The sequence below is a fragment of the Homo sapiens genome, chromosome 2 (genome assembly GCF_000001405.40).
Source record: "Homo sapiens chromosome 2, GRCh38.p14 Primary Assembly".
NCBI lineage: Eukaryota > Metazoa > Chordata > Mammalia > Primates > Hominidae > Homo > Homo sapiens.
Window position 1 is genome coordinate 39,550,000 of NC_000002.12, and position 21,127 is coordinate 39,571,126.

General features: G+C 39.7%; 1 long non-coding RNA gene across 1 annotated transcript in view; it reads left to right on the forward strand.

Annotated features, from left to right (window-relative positions):
• Positions 1-21,127, forward strand: part of MAP4K3-DT (MAP4K3 divergent transcript) — a 163,929-nt gene that overhangs the window by 112,584 nt on the left and 30,218 nt on the right. The window lies entirely within an intron of this gene.

Genomic DNA, 21,127 nt, shown 5'->3' on the forward strand with positions numbered 1-21,127 from the left:
AACTTCTCAGTGACCCATGAAACTCAGCTTCCAGCATCACCTAAGGATTATTTGTTCCCTTCTTCCCCTGATGCCATAGAAATAAAGCTTTGGCCAGGTGCTGTGGCTCACGCCTGTAATCCTAGCACTTTGGGAGGCTGAGGTGGGTGGATCGCTTGAGTCTAGGAGTTTGAGACCAGTCTGGGCAACATGGTGAAACCTCGTTTCTACAAAAAATACAAAAATCAGCCAGGCATGGTGGCGCATGCCTGTAGTCCCAGCTATTCAGGAAGCTGAGGCGAGAGGAGCGCTTGAGCCCTGGGAGGTGGAGGCTGCAGCGAGCCACGATTGTGCTACTGCACTCCAGCCTGGGTGACAGAGTGAGACCCCGTCTCAAAAAAAAAAAAAAAAGGAAAAAAGAAAGCTTCTCAAGGGCCCCAGTTGCTCTTGCAGTCTCCAGCATGTAGGTGACATTCTCACCAGGATTCCTTGATGAGGTGAGAATATTTTGAAAATCCAGAAACCAGCAGGTCCCTTTGGAAGTGATATTTCACTACTGCCTTCTCATCCCTAAAATCAATGCTTGTTTCTGGCCCAGAGCTGGGTACAGATCATCTTTCTTATTTGTAAACAGTATATGCTCTAAATCAGTTCATCACTATATACCTCTGCTCCTAATGACAGATGGCAGCTTTTCCTTGTTTTTCCTGCTTTAGGACACAGACATTAATCTGTGGACTAAACATTATGGAAAGTGCACTGACCGTCCTCCATAGCACATGTGTGACCTTGTCCTGTGGTCCTCAGGAAGCTGGGCCCTAGGAAATAACTTTAACATTCACCAGCAGAGGAAGCTGTCAATATTGCACTGTTTGCTTAACTTGTAACATTGATCTTCTGTGGCTCTGGGCATAACATAATAAGGAAAATACCACAACTTACTACAGCAAGTCAATGGGCTGATAAGATAAACGCTGTTATGTTTCAAAATTGTGCCAAGTTTATGTTGATAAAGTGACTTTCTTCTGGGAATCTAAAAAACAGTGCCTATGGTTCTAATCCTGTATGACTTTAACTTTGTCTTATATTTACATAAGACAGGAAATTGGCCCAAGATGACCTCATTCATCTTTATAACTCTTCTCCTGAAGGAATTTATAGTGAGGGTAGTGTTATTATTTTTTCACTACAGAGGTGTAGAGAGCTTAAGCTTTCAGTCAAACTAACAAATTCAGTATTGGTTCTAGAACCAAGAGAAAAGGAATAGGTCTGCGGCTACGGCTACATTAATAATAACAACAAACAAACTTTAAAAACTGCTATTGTATGGTAAGAATGAGGACATTTTTAAAATCAAAGACAGTTGAGTCTCAGACTAAATCTATTCAGTGCTATTGGTTAGAATTGACTTGTCAGTTCCATAGAACAACTTTGTCATTCAGCCTAACCATCACTTTGATGGATTTTTTTTTTTTAAACTTTGAAGAATGTTTGGTTCATCTACTAAATTGCATGTGATCCAGCAGCATGTGGACCATTTCAATTAAGGTAGTGTTTCTAATAGCCCTTGAGAAAAAGAATGACTCTAAATTCTTGTTCTTGGGTGTTTATTAATAGAAAAGGCCCAAATATCCCCAACTCCTCCATTCCACATTCATTGACTGTGAATTTTGAGGTGGTCCATAATTCTGTTAGGAATTTTATTTAGCTATTAGTACAGGAGACCTGGAAAACTAGTACTTATACCTGATAGAAGTTCATTTTCCCTCACATGCAAAAGAAGTATAGGGAATTGACGCAGTTCAGAAGCAGAACACGAAGATACTGTTCCTGCCAGGTGAAAGCAAATTGCTTATGGTGTTTTAGACTTATTGGTATAGAGAAAAAAACAGTTGTAAGCATAACTGCATACTAGATGGCCAGAGTGGTATCTCCAGTAGAGACAACGTTAAGAACAGTAGCAGCAATTGAAGTTACTGATTAAGATTTTGATAATCCATAAAATCCATCTGTTCACTGCACATTTTAAGCAGGTGAGTTAAATGGAGATGTAATAGAAATCACCACTTCTGCAGTTTTCATTTTTTAAAATTTTATTTCTTTAATTGACAAAAGTTATATATATTTATGGTATACAACATGATGTTTTGATGTATAAAATTATGGAATGAGGTAAATCAAGCTAATTAGCATATGCATTATCTCATATATTATCTTTTTCTGTGGCAAGAACACTTAAAATCCACTCTCGTAGCAATTTTCAAGTATACAATATATTGTTATTAACTTGAGTCACCATGATGTACAATAGATCGCTTGAATTTATGCTTCCTATCTAACTGAAATTTTGTATCCTTTGACCAACATCTCCCCAGTCCCCCCAACCCCCAGCCCCCGGTAACCACCATTCTACTCTGCTTCTGTGAGTTCAACATTTTTAGGCTCCACGTATATATAGGTAAGACCATTCAGTATTTTTTTTTAAATGCCTGGCTTATTTTACTGAACATAATGTCTTCCAGGTTCATCCATGTTTTTGCAAATGCCAGGATTTCCTTCTTTTTAAAGGCTGAGTGGTATTTCATTGTGTATATATACTACATTTTCTTTATCCATTCATCTGCACATAGACACTTAGGTTGATTCTATATACTGGCTATTGTGAATAAGGCTACAATGAGCATGGGAGTCCAGATATCTCTTTGACATACTGATTTCATTTCCTTTGGATATATACTCAGTAGTGGGAATGCTGGGTCATATGGTGGTTTGCTTTTGATTTTGAGGAACCTCAATACTATTTTCTATAATGGCTCTACTGATTTACATTTCCAACAGTAGTACCCAAGGATTCCCTTTTCTCCACATCATTACCAACACTTCTTATCTTTTATCTTTTTGATAATATCCATTCTAACGTGTGAGGTGATATCTTACTGTGGTTTTAATTTGCATTTCTCTGATGTTGAACATTTTTAAATATACCTGTTGGCCATTTGTATATCTTCTTTTGGGAAATATCTATTCAGGTCCTTTGACCATTTAAAAATCAGGTTATTTGTGTTCTTACTATTGAGTTGAGTTCCATATGTATTTTGAATATTAACCCTTTATGAGATGTATGGTTTGTAAATATTTTCTCCCATTCCATAGGTTGTCTCTTTACTCTGTTGATTGTTTCCTTTGCAATATAGAAGCTTTTTAATTTGATGTAATCTCACTTGTCTATGTTTTCTTTTGTCGTCTGTGCTTTTACAGGTCATATCCAAAAAGTCTTTGCCCAGACCAATGCCAATGAGCTTTTCTCTTATATTTTCTTCTAGTAGTTTTAAAGTTTCAAGTCTTACATTTAAGTCTTTAATTCCTTTTGAGTTGAGTTTTATATATGGTGTGAGATAAGGGTCCAGTTTCATTCTTCTGCATGTTGATGTCCAGTTTTCTCAACACTATTTATTGAAAAGACTGTCCTTTCCTCATTATGTGTTCTTGGCATCTTTGTCAAAAGTCAATTGACTACAAAAATGTGGATTTATTTCTGGGCTCTCTATTCTGTTTCATTGGTCTATGTGTCTGTTTTTATGCCAGTACCATGCTGTTTTGAGTTTTATAACTTTGCAGTCAATTTTGAAGTCAGGCAACATGATGCCTTCAGCGTTGTTTATTTTTCTCAAAATTTCTTTCACTATTTGGAATCTTTTATGGTTTCCTACAAATTTTACCTTTTTTTTCTATTTCTGGGAAAATGTCATTGGATTTTTGACAGGGATTGCATTGAATTTGTAGGTCACTTCAGGTAGTATGGACATTTTAATAATGTCAATTCTTCTAATCCATAAACATGGAATATCTTTCCATTTATTTTTGTCTTCTTCAATTTTTTTCATCGGTGCTTCATAGATTTCAGTGTGTATATCTTTCATCTCCTTGGTTAAATTCATTCCTAAGTATTTTATATATTTTTGTAGCTATCATAAATGAGATTAAAATTTTTTTGGAGAGTTTGTTGTTAGTATATAGAAATGTTAGTGATTTTTGTATTTGATTTAGTATCCTGCAACTTTGCTAAATTCATTTATTAGTTCTAACAGTTTTTTTGGTCAAGTCTTTAGGGCTGCAGTTTTCTTTGATAAGGTCACTAATATCTAGAATTCTCCTAAAAGTGTAATGTTGCTTTTGGTTTACTATTTTGTTCGGAAGGGGCAGTCCCAGTAGTGCTTACTTTGGGCCAGGAAGCCAATTTGAGGATTCTGCTATTACCTGGGTTTATCCATTCAAACTATAAATTAGGAAATGGGGGAAATAACCAGAGACTGGATTCACAGAAACTCTGTACCCATCATGAGATGGACTTAGACTCAAACTCTCTATCACTGGATTCCCACAAATAAGGCCCTGTTCTGAGTAGGGGAAACAGTGATATTCTAGGTTCCCAGGGATTAGTACAAGTTCAAAGCCATGTTCAATAATTTGTGAAAGGTATAAATATTTTTCCTTCTCTAGTACACAGTTACCTTGGTGGATGGATGCTGGTCCTTTTGGGGAAGGGGTAGAGGAAGATTTTCATAGGTTCTTGTGATGTCCTTCCTCAAAGGTCCTCCCTTTCATTCACTGAATTGAGAGTGTGGGTATTGGGAGATAGGTCCTGACTCTCTAGTGATAATGGAAGTCAAGTATAATGATTTAATTCTAGATTCACTAGGCCTAGAATTTTTTCAATTATACAGGTCAGCTATGTCTTTTGCAGGCTGCTCATCTAGTTCATTTTTAGGCATACTGTGATCAATTAGCTACCACCAAAAGATCCCTGCAAGTCAAGTTATTTTGCTATTACAATAATCATAGCTACTAGGTTTCTGGCAGTTAAATCCCGCTATTTGGTGTCTGCCCCTCTGGGAACCCATAAACTCCACTGAAAACAGGGAACTAATTCCAATAGCAGTATCTCCCACCTTCCTCTCCAGAGTACAGAATAAATTCATCAAAGCATTATTCAAGGATTCTTGTTCTCGCCGCATCAGTGTTTTTCTTGATGACTTGGAAAAGGCAGTGTTCTCTAGGCTTACTTTGGGTATATGTGAGATGTTGTATAAGATATATTTATTCCAACATTCTTATCACTATAAGCCTCTAGTCTTAGCATTTCAACTTCTTTCAGCAATAGGCCACAGTGGAGTCCAGGTTTCAGTCAACCAGCCAAGTTAACAACCGGCTCAAGCTATGTAGAATGAATCCAGAACCTCTGGTTAGTTTATCTATGTCAGTAATTTGTGCTATAAAATTATGTTTTTGGTAGAAATTCAATATATTCTCCAGGTTTTTGCAAATATTAATTAGCAAAATCTTTCAATTCTTCTGGTGTATGAATCTTTTCCTTCTAGATTTGAATTTTAAAATTGGCCTTTATGGGCATGTTGGAATCTGGAACTATTTATAAATGTGGAGGAAATAAAAGGTCATAGGTGTAGGGTATGAATTCCTGTAGGAAGTAACTGTCTCAGGTGAGGTCATTGTAAGGCAAGCTTGTCCAACCCGCGGCCTGCAGGCTGCATGCAGACCGGGATGGCTTTGATGAGTGTGGCACAACACAAATTTGTAAATTTTCTAAAAGTATTATGAGATTTTTTTGTGTGATTTTTTTTTTTTGAGATTAAGTCTAGCTCTGTCGCCCAGGCTGGAGTGCAGTGGCACGATCTTGGCTCACTGCAACCTCTGCCTCCTGGGTTCAAGAGATTCTCCTGCCTCAGCCTCCTGAGTAGCTGGGATTACAGGTGTGCACCACCACAGCCAGCTAATTTTTGTATTTTTAGTAGAGACGGGGTTTCGCTATGTTGGCCAGGCTGGTCTCAAACTCCTGACCTCATGATCCACCTGCCTCAGCCTGGGATTACAAGCGTGCTGGGATTACAAGCGTGAGCCACCGCACCTGGCATTTTGTGATTTTTTTTTTGAAAGCTTATCAGCTATCGTTAGTGTTAGTGTATTTTATGTGTGGCCCAAGACAATGCCGCTTCTTCCAATGTGGCCCAGAGAAGCCAAAAGATTGGACGCCCGTGTTGTAAGATCTTTAACCAACATCTTCAGATTGGAGAGGAGGGGCTCCTTCTTTTGGTAAGGGAGGCATAATGGTGTTTGAGTGTGCTGAATAATCCAGTTCCTCCTAAATGCTTTCACTCCAATTCTTTTGGCCCATTCCTTCCCAGTCCCTTTCATGTGTGAGATCTAGCAAGGACCATGAATTCAGCCTCTATTGAAATTCAGTAACTGGCCAGATTTGACTCTGCATTTGCTCTTTGGCCATGACAGCTGTTTGGCCTTAAGAGATAAAAATTCTTTAAGAGGAGTCCTATAAACTCTAACAATCCCTTCCCTAACAATCCCTTGATCTGTGAGTTTAAATTCTTTGGCCTTTTACTTTTCCTTCTTTTCTTTGTTTGAGACAGGGTCTTGCTCTGTCACCCAGGCTGGAGTGTGATGGCACGATCTCAGCTCACTGTAACCTCCACTTCCTGGACTCAAGCCATCCTCCCACCTCACCCTCTTAAGTATTAATAGCTGGGACTACAGGTGTGGGCCACAGGGTTTTTCCATTTTGCCCAGACTGGTCTCAAATTCCCGGACTTAAGTGATCTGCCTGCCTCGGCCTCCCAAAGTGTTGGGATTACAGGCGTGAGCCACCGCGCCCAGCCGCCTTGTTCTTTTTTAAAGCTCACTGATGCCAATAAAGTCAGCTATCCTAACCCATACTTCCTGTATTCCTTAGCCCCACATAGTGGCATATTGCAGCAATCAAAAGGGACGCCAAACTTTGGCTTCAGAAGGCATTTTACTCCAAATGATCACAGGTAGTCATTTAAGAAGCTGTTTTACCACCTGGTATAATTACTAGTGTCCAATCACCTAATGGTACCCAAACACTCACTTCAAACCCAACCAGGTCAGATAGCCAATCCAAGTTTTTCATGTTTTTGAAAACTGTTGTTTGCAATCATTTCTGCTATAGTTTTCTTAATTGGTCAGAGTTCCTTAATTGCAGCCAATGAATTAACTCTGGTTACTTTAAGCATGAAGGAATTTATTAAGGGATAAATTATTAAAGAAACATTATGAAGGCTGAAGAAATAGACTCCAGGTGAACTTTCAGGAATAACCCCATTGTGCATTTCAGCATTCTAAAATGGATTTCCAAGGGAGTTACAGCATCTGCTATGATCAGGGGGCCAACACAGCTGCTAGTTCCAATCTGTGCTAGAAATATGGGTGCCCCATGCCCTGCCTTTTCTCCATATTACTTGGTTCTGAATATGTCTAATATGTGTGCATCTGTTCAGTGAAATCTCCATCACCTACTGGCACCTCAGCACAAGAAATGCTGGGAAGTACAGTTTTTAGAAATTTGTTTTTGAAAAGGCAAGATCAACAAAGTGGGAAACTTTCAAAATGTTAAGAAGGTGTTCAAGATATTTTTGGGCATCTGGTAGACAGGGTAGAGAATAGAAAAGGGGAGAGCAATAGTAAGCTATTTCTTGGGTTGGGTGGTAGACCCACAAGTAGTCATTACTTTCTAGTCTTTTATAATGAATGTATGTATTAGTCTGGGTTCTCCAGAGAAACAGAACCAATAAAATATATATTTATAAGGCTGGACGTGGTGGCTCACGCCTGTAATCCCAGCACTTTGGGAGGCTGAGGTGGGCGGATCACCTGAGGTTGGGAGTTCAAGACCACACTGACTGACATGGAGAAACCCCGTCTCTACTAAAAAATACAAAATTAGCCGGGCATGGTGGTGCATGCCTGTAAGCCCAGCTACTTGGGAGGCTGAGGCAGGAGAATTGCTTGAACCTGGAAGGCGGACGTTGCGGTGAGCAGAGATCGCACCATTGCACTCCAGCCTGTGCAACAAGAGTGAAACTCCATCTAAAAAAAAAAAATCTCTCTCTCTCTATATATATAGATATATATATATATCCATCTATCTAATGAGAGATTTGATTTATTATCAGGAATTGGCTCATGTGACTATGGAGGCTGAGATGTCCCAAGAGCTGGATACCCAGGAGAAGCAAAGGTATAGTTACAGTTTAAGTCTGAAGGCTGGCAAAAACCAGTGCTCCAGCTTGAAGACATGTAAAAAGAAAGAATTCTTTCTTACACTGTCTTTAGTCTGTTTAAGCCTTCAGTGGACTGGATGAGGCCCCACTCACACTGGGGCGAGGTGAATCTGCTTTACTCAGTGTACATACTCAGATGTTAATGCCATCCAGAAACACCCTCAACAGACACACCAAGAATATTTAACCGATTTTTAACCAAAATATTTAACCAAAGACACACCAAGATATTTAACCAAATATCTGGGCACTCTGTGGACAATCAAGTTGACACATAGAATTAACCATCACAATATGTTACCTTCTCTTTAATATACATCAGCATACGTTTCTTTGGTAGGAGATATTAAAAAGATTTTGGGGCAACTACAAATGACAGATGTCCACTACAAACCGTAATCCCTTTACTTAAGATATTGATTTAGTTCAAGTGTAAAAGCCTGTGGAAAGAGTAGTTCTTTAAGTTACTATTAGTCATTTGTACCTTGGTTGGAAGGAAGAATGAATGGATTAGTAAATGGAGAGAGATAATTTAATCTAAATATTTGAGGAATAGGTGGTGGTGAGAGCACCACTTAGGAATAAAGGGAGGAAGAATGGGAGGTTGAGAGCTTTAAGACAGATTTTTGCTAGTTCACATTTTGATTGGAACAGCTCTAACTCCTAACACCTGCGTGAGATTGTTTCCTTTTTATTTTTTTCACTTTAAAGGCTATTGGAATTTTCAGATGCCTAATGGATTATTTCAGATTTGTCATGTATCTATCAATATTCCAATTTTCATTTTATAATATATGTGACAGAACTCTGAGTTAAAACCCATTCTCCCAACCTCTCTCTGGTTATCTGGGCATTAGTTCACACAGATTGAAAGCACAAGTTGGGCTATCTGCTTCATTATCTGCTGCTATTTATTTCAATCCTGGATTGAAGCCACCAGTGAGCAGAATTTGCATAGGGAACTTTATTCAAATCTAAAGTTTATGAATAATGCAGAACTCTCTGTGACTCATCAAAAGCAATGATAAACAAAATGCAAACAGTTGGCCACCCTCTCAGCAATCCAGACAGTGGTCCCACCCCTCACAAACTGTGAATGACAATATTTGAAGGTAGCAATGGAAATCAGTAGTGTTGGTTTATCTTTAGCATCACCCATATGTTTACTGGCACACGGTTAAGTCAGAAAAATGAGCACAAGCAAAGAGAAAAAGGTGTTCTGTCTACTAAGGTATTTAAAGTCAGCGGAAATGGAAAGACCATTCCTTATCCCAGTCCACAGAGTGTTCCTTCTGTGAACTGTTTGCAGTTAATAGATTGGAAACAACACCAGCTTTGTAGTTAGATAGTCCTGGGTTCAAATCCTGTATCTGCTACTCATGAGCTGTATATTGGGCAAGTTACCTATGTTTTTGTCTTTTTAGAAACTTAGTGTCTTTTTTCTTTTTTAAAATAGTATAACAGCAAACCTTTACTTATTTTTCCCTTTTTATTGATACATAATATTTTACATATTTATGGGGTACATGTGATATTTTGTTACACATATAGAATGTTTAATGATCAAGTCGGTATTTGAGTGTTTATATATTGAGTATTTATCATTTCTATGTGTTGGGAACAATTCTAGTTCTCTCTTCTAGTTACTTTGAAATATACATTGTTGTTAACTATAATCACTCTGCTCTGCTGTTGACCAATAGAACGTATACCTTTTATCTAACTGTATGTTTGTACCCATTACCTACCTCTTTTCATTCCTTTCCCCACTCATTCACCTTTCTCAGCCTCTAGTGTCTATAAATCTACTCTCTTTTTTTTTTTTTTTGAGATGGAGTCTTGCTCTGTCGCCCAGGCTGGAGTGCAGTGGTGCAATCTTGGCTCGCTGCAACCTCTGCCTCCTGGGTTCAAATAATTCTCCTGCTGCAGCCTCCCGAGTAGCTGGGACTACAGGCATGTGCCACCATACCTGGCTAATTTTTGTATTTTGGGTAGAGGCGGGGTTTCACCACGTTGGCCAGGCTGATCTCGAACTCCTGACCTCAAGTGATCCACCTGCCTCAGCCTCCCAAAGTGCTGGGATTACATGCGTGAACCACTGTGCCCGGCCTCTATCATTCTACTCTCTACCTTTACAATATCAACTTTTTAAGCTCCCACATATGAATGAGAACATGCAGTATTTGTCTTTCTGTGCCTGGCTTGTTTCATTTAACACACTGACCTCTAGTTCCATCTGTGTTTTTGCAAATGACAGGATTTCATTCTTTTTATTGATTAAATAGTATTCCATTTTATAAATATACACCACATTTTCTTTATTCATTCATCCATTGATGAACACTTTGGTTGGTTCCACATTTTCGTAATTGTGAATAGTGCTGTGATAAACCTGTGAGTGCAGGCATCCCTTTGAAATTCTGATTTCTTTTCCTTTACATAGATACCCAGTAGTAGGATTGCTGGGTCATATGGTAGTTCTATTTTTAATTTTTTTTTTTTAATGTGATGGGTTCTTGCTCTGTCTCCCACGTTGGAGTGCAATGGCACAATCATGGCCCACTCCAGCCTTGACATCCTGGGCTCAAGGGATCCACCCTCCTCAGCCTCCCGAATAGCTGGGACTATAGGCACATGCCACCATGCCTGGCTAATTTTTAAAAACTTTGTGTAGAGGTGAGGTCTCACTATATTGTCCAGGCTGGTCTTAAACTCCTGTGCTCGAGCAATCCTCCTGCCTCGGCCCCCTCATGTTAAGATTACATGTGTGAGCCACCACACCCAGCTATTTTTAGTTTTTTGAGAACTCTCAATACTGTTTTCCACAGTGGTTGCATTATACTAGTTTACATCCCCATACAATGTATAAGAGTTCCCTTTTCTCCACATCCTCACCAGCATAAGTTTGGTGGACTCTGGTCCTGGGCTTTTTTGTTGTTGTTGGGGGACTTTTTATTACTGTTTCAATTTTGTTGCTTGTTATTGGTGTGTTCAGGTTTTCTATTTCTTCCTGGTTCAATCTAGATAAGTTGTATGTATCTAAGAATTTATCTATTTTTTCTCTGGGTTTTACAGTTTCTTAATGTATAGTTGTTTGTAATAGTCTCTAATGATTCTTTTTATTTCTGTAGTATCAGTTGTAAAGCCTTCTTTTTCATTTCTGATTTTATTTATTTGGGTCTTTCTTTTCTTGGTTAGTTGAGCTAGCAGTGTATTGATTTTGTCTTTTCAAAACACCAACTTTTCATTTTATTAATTCTTTGTATTTTTTAAGTCACTGTTTAATTTAGTTCTCTGATCTTTGTTTCTTCATTTCTAGTATCTTTTTTTTTTTTTTTTTTTTTGAGATGGAGTCTTGCTCTGTTACCCTGGCCGGAGTGCAGTGGCGCGATCTTGGCTCACTGCAACCTCTGCCTCCAGGGTTCAAGTGATTCTCCTGCCTCAGCCTCCTGAGTAGCTGGGATTACAGGCATGCACCACCATGCCCGGCTAATTTTTGTATTTTTAGTAGAGACAGGGTTTCACCATGTTGGCCAGGCTGGTCTTGAACTCCTGACCTCAGGTGATCTGCCCGCCTCAGCCTCCCAAAGTGTTGGGAATACAGGTGTGAGCCACTGCACCTGGTCCATATCTAGTCATTTTGATTTTGATTTGTTCTTGCTTTTCTACTTCCTTGAGGTACATTGTTAGGTTGTCCATTTATAGTCTTCCTACTTTTTTCATGCACGTGTTTATTGCTATGAAGTTCCCTGTTAGCAAAGCTTTTCCTGTATCTCATAGATTTTGGTATGTTGTATTTCTATTTTTATTTGTTTCAAGAAATTTAAAATTTTCCTTCTTAATTTCTTCATCAACCCAATGATAGTTTAAGAGCATGATGTTTTATTTCCGTGCATTTTTACAGTTTCCAACATTCCTTTTGTAATTGATTTCTAGTTTATTCCATTGCGTTCTGAGAAGATACTTGATGTGGTTTTAATATTAAAAAATTTGTGGAGATTTGCTTTGTTACCTAACATGTGGTCAATCCTGGAGAATATTCCATGTACTAATGAGACGAATGAGCATTTTGCAGCTGTTGAATAAAATGTTCTGTTAATGTCTGTTAGGTACATTTGGCCTAAAGTGCAGTTTAAATCCAATTTTTTTTGTTGATTTTCTGTTTAGATGATCTGGTCTAATGCTGGAAGTGGGGTGCTAATAGTCCCCAACTATTATTGTATTGGAGTCTATCTCTCCCTTTAGATCTAATTATATTTGCTTTATAGAGCTGAGTGTTCCACTGTTGGGGCATATATATTTAGAATTATTATATTCTTTTGCTGAATTGATCCTTTTATTATTATATAACAAACTTGTCTCTTTCTGTAGGTATTTTTTTTTTCACCCTGTCACCTAGACTGAAGTTCAGTGGCACAATCATGGCTTATTGCAGCCTCCACCTCCTGGGTTCAAGTGGTTCTCCCACCTTGGCCTCCCAAATAGCTAGGACTACAGGGGCACCCATGCCCAGATAATATTTTCTATTTTTTGTAGCTATAGGGTTTTGCCATATTGCCCATGCTGGTCTTGAACTCCTGGGCCCAAGCAATCTACCCTCCTCATCCTCCCAAAGTGCTGGGATTACAGGTGTGAGCCACTGTGGCCAGGCTTTTTGCAGTTTTTGACTTAAAGTCTGTTTTATCTAACATAGGTATAGCTACTCCTGTTCATTTTAAATTTCTGTTTGCATAGAATATCTTTTTCCATTTCTTCACTTTCAGTCTATATCTCTTTACAGGTGAAATGAGTTTCTTGTAGGCAGCATATAGTTGGGTTATTAAAATTCATTTAGCTGGTCTATATATTTTAAGTGGGAAATTTAATTTGTTTACATTCAGGATTATTATTGATAGGTGAGGACTTACTCTTATCATTCTGTTGTTTTCTGGTTGTTTTGTATATCTTGTCTTCCTCTCTTCTGTTATTGTTTATCATTGCAGTTTGGTAGTTTTTTGTAGTTGTTACATTTGAGTCCTTTCTTTTATTTATGTGTCTGCTCTACCAACAAGTTTTACATTTTTCTATGTTTTAATGATGGTAGATATCATGCTTTTGCCTCAAGATGTAGAACTCCCTTAAGCATTTCTTGTAGGGCCAATCTCTATGGGTGATGAATTCTCTCATTTATTTCTCCTTATATTTTTGAAAAGTAGCATTGCTGAGTATAGTATTCTTGGTTGACAGGTTTTTCCCCCCCAGCCCCCCGCCCAACCCCCTGCCCACTGCTTTCAGCACTTTAAATATATCATCCATACCATTTTCTGCTGTCCTGTAAGGTTTCTGCTGAGAAATCTGTTGTTACTCTGATGGAGATTTCCTTATATGTGGCTTGATGCTTTTCTCTGTCTGTTTTTAGAATTCTCTTTGTCTATGACTTTTCATAGTTTGACTGTAATATGCCTTGGGGAAGAATTTTTTGGGTTAAATTTATTTGGGAACCTTTGAACCTCTTGTATGCAGGTGTCCAGTTGTCTTGCAAGTCTTGAGAAGTTTTAGGCTATTATATCATTAAATAAGTTTTATATGTTTTTGCCTACTTCCTTTTCTGAAACTCCAAAACTTTGAATAGTTGCTTTATGATTTCCTATTTGTCACATAGGCTTTCTTTCTTTACTTCTTTCTTTCTTTCTTTAATCTGACTGAGCTATTTTTTAAAAATTTCAGCTTGAGCTAGTCTATTGTCAAAGCTCTCAATTATATTTTTTATTTCATTCAATGAATTCTTCAGTTCCAGGATTTTTGTGTGATTCATTTTTGTGATATCTATCTTTTTTTGAATTTCTCATTCAGATCATGTATTGTTTTTCTGATTTCTTTGTATTACTTATCTGTATTCTCTTGTGTCTCACTGAATTTCTTTAATATCATTATGTTAAATTATTTTTCAGGTGTTTACGATTTGCTTTTTGTTGGATTCTGTTGCTGGAGAATTATTGTGTTTCTTTGGAAGTGTCAAGTTTCTTTCTTATGTTTTTTTTTTGGTCTTTACATTGATATCTGTGCATCTAGTGTAACAGTCACTTCTTCCAATTTTATGGATTAGCTTCTGGAGGGAAAGACTTTTTTCTGTAGGTGTGTCTATGGTGTTGGTTGGGTACGGTGTTTTGGCTTTGATTATGGGTGGGCGCAGTAGTGTAGTCTTCCTATGATTTGTCAGCTATAATCAGTGTCAATGATGTCTGTAAGTTGCACAGTAGCTTAGGCTATGGTTGTTAATGGAGGCTGTGGTCAGGTTTTGCTAGGGACAAGGATGCCAGGAGGGCTGGTCCTCAGGCACCAGTGGTGGTGGTGGGCTGGGTGTGTTGGTCCTTGGGTTTCCAGGTAGTGTATGCAGGCACCAGTTGTAGTGGGTCCAGGCAAGCTGATTCTTGGGCCTTCAGGTGGCTTTCTTGGGTGCCAGCAGTGGTATCAGTGGGTTCATTAGGTGATCAAGTCCTCAGGCCCCTAGGTTGTGTGTGTGGCATCAGCAGTGGCAGTAGCAGTGCAAAGTTAACCCTTAGGCCCCCAAGCATCACATGCGGGTGCGAGCAGCATTGGCAGTGAGCTAAGCAGACCCCAGGCCCCCAGATGGCTCATATAGAAGGGTGCTGCTGCTGCTGCTGCTGGTGGTGGTGGCAGGCTGGGTAGGCCAGTCCCTAGTCCTCTAGGAGACATGTATGGGCAGCGGTGGCAGGTGGGGTGTGCTTGTCTTCAGGCTCCCTGATGGTGAACGTGAATGTCAGTGGCAGCACGAAGGGTAGGATGATCCCCAGATCCCTAGGCCCCTGGATGATGTGACTGGGCACTGACAGGAGTGGCAGTGGGCTGAACAGGCCTGTTTTTAGAGCTCCCAGTGGTGTGTGTGGGCACCACTGTGGTGGGCCAGTTGGGCCCAGTAACTTGTCATCTTTCAACTTTGGTCTTTTTTTAGTAAAAAGGCATAGTAGCATACTTATTTTTAACACTCAGGGTTCTTAGTTGTAAGCAATAGTACCTGACTGTGGCTGATTGAACAGATAAAGAGCTAATTAAAAAGATTATTGCCTGTACAAAGTAGTTGGGAGAGGCAGGCTTGAGGCTAAGCTTCTGGGGTCAAGGCCTGACACTATGCTGCAGAAGTGACCCAATAAAGAAGCTGATGATCTTGCTTTCCCTCAGAGCATGAAATGGCTGCTAGGACCTCAAACTCTACTGCAGCTCTGCCAGCACTGATACTTCTGGACCAGGAACTGATCTTACAACAACTGGTTCCCCAGAAAACTAGATGAGCCTGTTACCACCCTTGTCAGCAAATGAGTCCCAGGCATCACGCCCTTCCTCTGGCTAATTACTTCTAATTAACTTCTAGGTTGGGTACATCTTAGTGGCAGATCCTGGGCTTCATGCCTGTGTTCCAACTACCAAGGTCTCTAGGGAAGCAAATTTTCTGACTTTACTCTGAGGACACAAAACTCACAAGATGGGAAATTCCCCGAACATAGTAAGATGCACAAAAGGTGTGAGGCAGCCAGAAAATATAACATATGTTATCTCTCCAAGAATTGTAAAGACTAAGTGTTATGTCAAGTATTTGGCATGCCTATGAGTTCAATATTTTTTTGTTTCCTTTTCTTTTTTTCTTTATCAGAAATATCCATTTTATCATCAGGTTAACCCCCCAGCCTGGCTTTTGCTTAGGTAGGATTTATAAATAGTGTGGAATAGAGCCTTTCACCCAGGATGAGGACACATGGAAGGGTCTCCACTTTGTACTGCCAATCCCTGGATGGACCTGACCTGTTGGCTTCTGACCCTAGTCCACCCTAACCCATGAAACCTGTTCATTCTTTCCTGTAATATTTGACCTTTTGATTCCTACACCATTGGCTTGCTCATGACCACAGCAACCCACTGACATCCCCCTTTCCATTTTGTCTTAATCTCTTGGCACTTAGACTTTTAGTTTATAATGAAACCTGATAGCTGTTTGATTCTTTCCTAGCTCTGACTTATGAACAGCTTACACAGCATTCTCTTATTTTGCATAATTATTGAAGGAGAGCTACTAAGAAATATTTGGTTGTATCTATTTCTTTTTCTTTTTAGATTTATAAAATAAATTTTCTATCTGTAATGAAAGTGAAGTGAAGAAGGTCTGAAGAGGAGATAAAGACAAAGGGAACAGTTACCAAATGTTTTCCCTATTACTTACCCCAGTGTTCTACTCCTCTTCCTAAGAAATATTCATTGAGACTTTATACAGAAAGGGAAAAATCCCCCAAACCAAAGCCAAAACAAAACTTGATTGAAGCAGTAAGTATCTTTCTTACTGACATTTTTTCCCCCCATACTCTTTTAAGACAGCTTCTGCTTTCTCTTTCATGAAAACTACCCTCACTAAGTTGCCAAAATTTATTTCCAACTTAAACAAAAGGGAGCATTCGCAACATTATCAGCCTGGTATCTAACTGCTGGGACTCTGGACTGAGTGAATGCCACGAGGAGCTGGGGAGAAAGCAGAATGATCATGTTCTACCATCATGGCTCAGGGAGCCAGGAATGATCTGTCCATGATTATTTGTTCAAATTATCCTAATATCTCTCAGCTTCACTTGGCAATCTGGGAAATGTTCTGCTCAGTTGGCTGGAAATGTCTTCGGAATTCTTTAGGCCTGTCTGTATCCTGGAACATGTGAGTTAGAAAAGTATACACAAATAGATATGAAAGATGGTTCTTGTTCAGAGTTGTTTCAGTGCAGTGACTGACTCTTGGGTTAATGGCAATTGAAGCAAAGTCCTATTTTATATCATGGATCTCCTAGAGAGAGCCAGGAAGTTCCACCATAAAATGTTGCAAAGAGTCACCAGACATTTCTTGCTCAACTGAATGTCTCAAAATAAGGCATTATTAGAAAAAGCTGGAGGACATCAGATCAAAACAGCTATCACATCTTTAAGAAATGTAACTTAGAGTGTGGCCCCATCCATTTGCAACAGTGGGAGAACACGACCTAGAGTCAGGCCACTTTGAATCCCAGCTCTCCTACTTTTAGAAGAGCATTTTGGATGAGATATTGGTTCCACTATTATATAATTTCTTTGTTTTACAAAAGCAAAGGGCACAGTTAAAGTACAAATATATTATACCAGCATCCCTTTCTAGCATCTACATTAACTAAGATTCATTAGCTTCTCGGCCATAAAGGTCCTGAAAGAATGGAATAGAGAGTGGTAATTCTACAGAGGGAACCGTTGGGAAATGCCTAGAGTATAATACCATGGAAATGGCAATTCTAGTTGGGGTGCTTAGGTTGTGGTCTCCTGTTGACCATGGGACAGCAGGAGGTCACTGGCATAGCCAAAATCATGCCAGGGTACTCAAAGAGAAATGGAAGGAAGCTCTCAGGCAGACTTCATCTACGGTTAAATTTTGCCTACACTTGGCCCTGCTGAGCATACTTAGGTAAGCAGCAGGGGAAGCAGCAGTGGCAGATCAGAGAAAGTATTCTGTGGATAGGAATGGGAATGAACAGCCAGCATGTTCCTAGCTAGTTGATTTCATGCTGAAGGTATCCATGTTCACAGCCCTGTTGAAGAAGGAGATCCCAGACTTGCTGCCAAGTTTCATCATGGGGCAGTAAGGACCTTATTCTTTCAGGTTCAGTGGTTTTGGCCCAGCTGCAGGAATAACTTGTGCATGGATTGGCAATAGAAACAATTGGAAAGCTACTGGATAAGGACCAGGTGGATGCAAACCTCTCTGCCCCTTTAATATGTGTCTGGTTGTTGGAGGGTTGGTCTGGTTAATTCTGGCAAATCTGTCTGTGGGGCTTCTAAACCCAGCTTCTGGGAGCTCAAGGAACCTGCCTGTTCGCCTTGCCCTGGGTCTGTTACAGGTTTTATTTATTTATTTATTTACTTACTTACTTATTGTGAGACAGGTTATGAGACTGGCTAATTTTTGTATTTTTGGTAGAGGTAGGGTTTCCTTATGTTTCCCTGGTCTTGAACTCCTGGGCTTAAGCAATCCACCTGCCTCGGCCTCCCAAAGTGGTGGGATTACAGGCATGAGCCATCGCTCCTGGCCGGTTACAGGTTTTAAGAACAAGTTCTAAGAACAGTCTAAGATTTTTTGGAACTTCAATGCTGTGTTGAGAGCATAGGTGAAATATTTCCGTTAATACACTGTCATAAAATAGACTGGAAAAACAGGAATGAGCTCTTTTATTCACCAGGTTCAGGAGGGGACACAGGTCCTGAGAAGGGCTGTGATTTTCCCAAGATAACCTGAAAAAGTTTTCCATAGAAGTGGAAACTTCCAAAAAGGAATGAAAAATTAACTATGGGCATGGTTATTACCTCTCATCATCAGGCAGAGTTTACGCAGTAAACTATTGTCATTAAAAAGGGAACAAATATCTTCCACATGCTTCAGAGTTTAACCCACTGTACAAAGACCATATTGCTAAGACACAATTTTACATAAATTCTGGCAGAAAGCCATTTTTTTTCCAGTTTAATGCAGCCCTAGATTTCATGGAAATAAAGTTTTGTTTGGGAGGGATAGTGATAGCTATTTATGCACAGCTAATTCTTGGGCCCTGAAATATAGCTCTGTACTTCCTGTCTTTCTAGGCTGACCATGACTCACTGAATAAGAATCCTTCAATTATTTTGAAAACAGCTGGCTAACTGCAATTTTTCTTCTGTCCTTCCATTTCTGCCATTCATCAGTGTCACTTTCAGGCTTGAAACTGGCTTCTCTACTAGGGTCTCTCTTTCCGGGCAGCGCTTGGAGGTACAGCCACAGGGCATGTCCTTGCCCTGTAATGGTGCAGTTGTTCCTCCCCACGTTGAAGGGAGAGCCCTCATTCCCCATCTCAGATGAGGCCTCCAAGAAAAATGAACCAGGTCAAGACTGCATCTGGGTTGTGGCTGTGTTTTATTGGCTAATCTTTTGGCTTTTTTTCCTTTAGATAAAGTTGATCGTTGCTCATCTTTAATTTTCAGTTTTTATTTTCTCAGCAAGGGTCCATTTTGAGCATCTTCTCTTTTAACCAAGAAAGGATAGTTCTCTTGCAAATCAGATATCTCATTGTTGACAAAAAGGACCAGATCCTTCCTTTTTCTCCCTCCTCAAATGTCTCCCTTTCCCAGCATAAACAAGCTGCTTTCATATAAAGACTTGATTGGCACTCAGGAGACATTTGTTTACTTATTCAGTAAACACTTATCGGGGGTTTGCCTTAAGGAAAGGGACTGCTATGGTTTGAATGATACTGTCCCCTCCAAAATTCATGTTGATCTTCAATGTGACAGTATGAAGAGTTGTGACCTTTAGGAGGTGACTGCTCTCATGAATGGGATTAAATGCCCTTATAAAAGGACTCGATGCAAGGATTTCAATACTCTCTCCTCCCTTTGTCCCTTTCACCATGTGAAGACACTGTTCCTTTTTTCTGGAGGATGCACCAAGATGCCATCTTGGAAGCATAGAACTCCCCTCACCAGACAACAGAGCCAGCTGGTACCTTGATCCCAGTCTTCAGAGCTGGGAGAAATACATTTTTGTCCTTTATAAATTACTCAGTCTGTGGTATTCTGTTATAGCAGCGCAAATGAACTAAGAAGGTGACCAACTGCCCACTTTACCTGGGACTGCCCTGGCTTTAGGACTGAAAGTTCTACATCCCAGGAAACCCCTCAGTTTGGGGCAAACTCAGGCAATTGGTCACTCCAACCCTAAATCAAACACAGTCTAGGAGCTGGGTGTGTAACTGACCATGAGCTTCTTAGGCACTGTGTGACCTTCTGTGGTTCCACGTTCTTTTCTCACAGAGGAAAGCATACCATGGTGGAAAGGGCACTTAATTGGAACCTGGAACCATGGGCTCTGGTCTCAGCTTGGCCATTAAAGAGGCAGGGGCTTAAGGGCAGATCACTGAGCCTCAGTTTCCTCCTCGAAGAGTACAAACGTTGGGTTTGGTGTTCTTTGACTACTTTATCACCCAGAGTCTAAAGGCGATGTAGTAAACCAATTCACACTAATTAATATTCCTAGGTAAGTGTGAGTAGGTCATTAGATATGTTGACATTTGCTGATGATGCTAATATTTACAAAGTCCTCATTCTATACCAGACATATCCATTGTTTAATTTCATCTTCACAACTTTTGATGTAGATGCTTCCTTTACTTTCATCTACAGATGGGGGACTCAGGCCAAGAAAGGTTACATAATTTGCCCCAAATCACAGAGAAGCTTATGGATCAAAGATCAGAACCTAGGAGGTCTGACTTCCAAATCCAAACTTGAACTGCTGCGCCCACTGGCTAGAGATAAGTCAACAGTTGAAATGAACAGGCTAATTGTTTCCCCCTCAAAGCACTGGAAAAAGGAAACAGCAGCTATTTGGAATGAGATTTTTGCATCCTGGTCTGCTAAAGATCATGGTCCTGAAAAACAGAGCATGGTATCTGAGAAATTAGTGTTCTTAGTTTATAGAAGGGCCCCTCCCTGTTCTATAGGACTAGCTAAAGGGTGGTAGAACCAGATTGAGCGTTAGAGCATTCTCCATCCCCTACACCTCTCTTTCCATTTTGGGTAACTTGAGGACATTCTCCACACTCCCTGCAAGATCTGTAAAGTACTTTAGGTGCTGTTAGCAAGGTTCAGAGGGTCACTACCAGCTGATCCCACTGCTTCTCACTGTTGGCCTGAAAAACAATTCCATTTAGATCTGGATTGCCTAAAAGTTTGTGTGTGTGTGTAAAGGGTGTAGAAGGATTACTACTAGACACGATTCTTCTCTTTTTTTAGAAAGAATAATTTGAAATACAAACAAAATAAGGCTGTGGGGTCTTATTCCCAGCAGCTGGCAGACTTTCACTTAATTAAACTACCGTGATTGCTTTATTCATATATTTTGCTTGCCCCCATTCTCTTCCTCTCTGACTCCTTATAAAAACAATACTATTTCATGAAGGGAGAAATTAAATGCTGTTAGTCTTTAAGACCAACACTAATTAACAGCATTT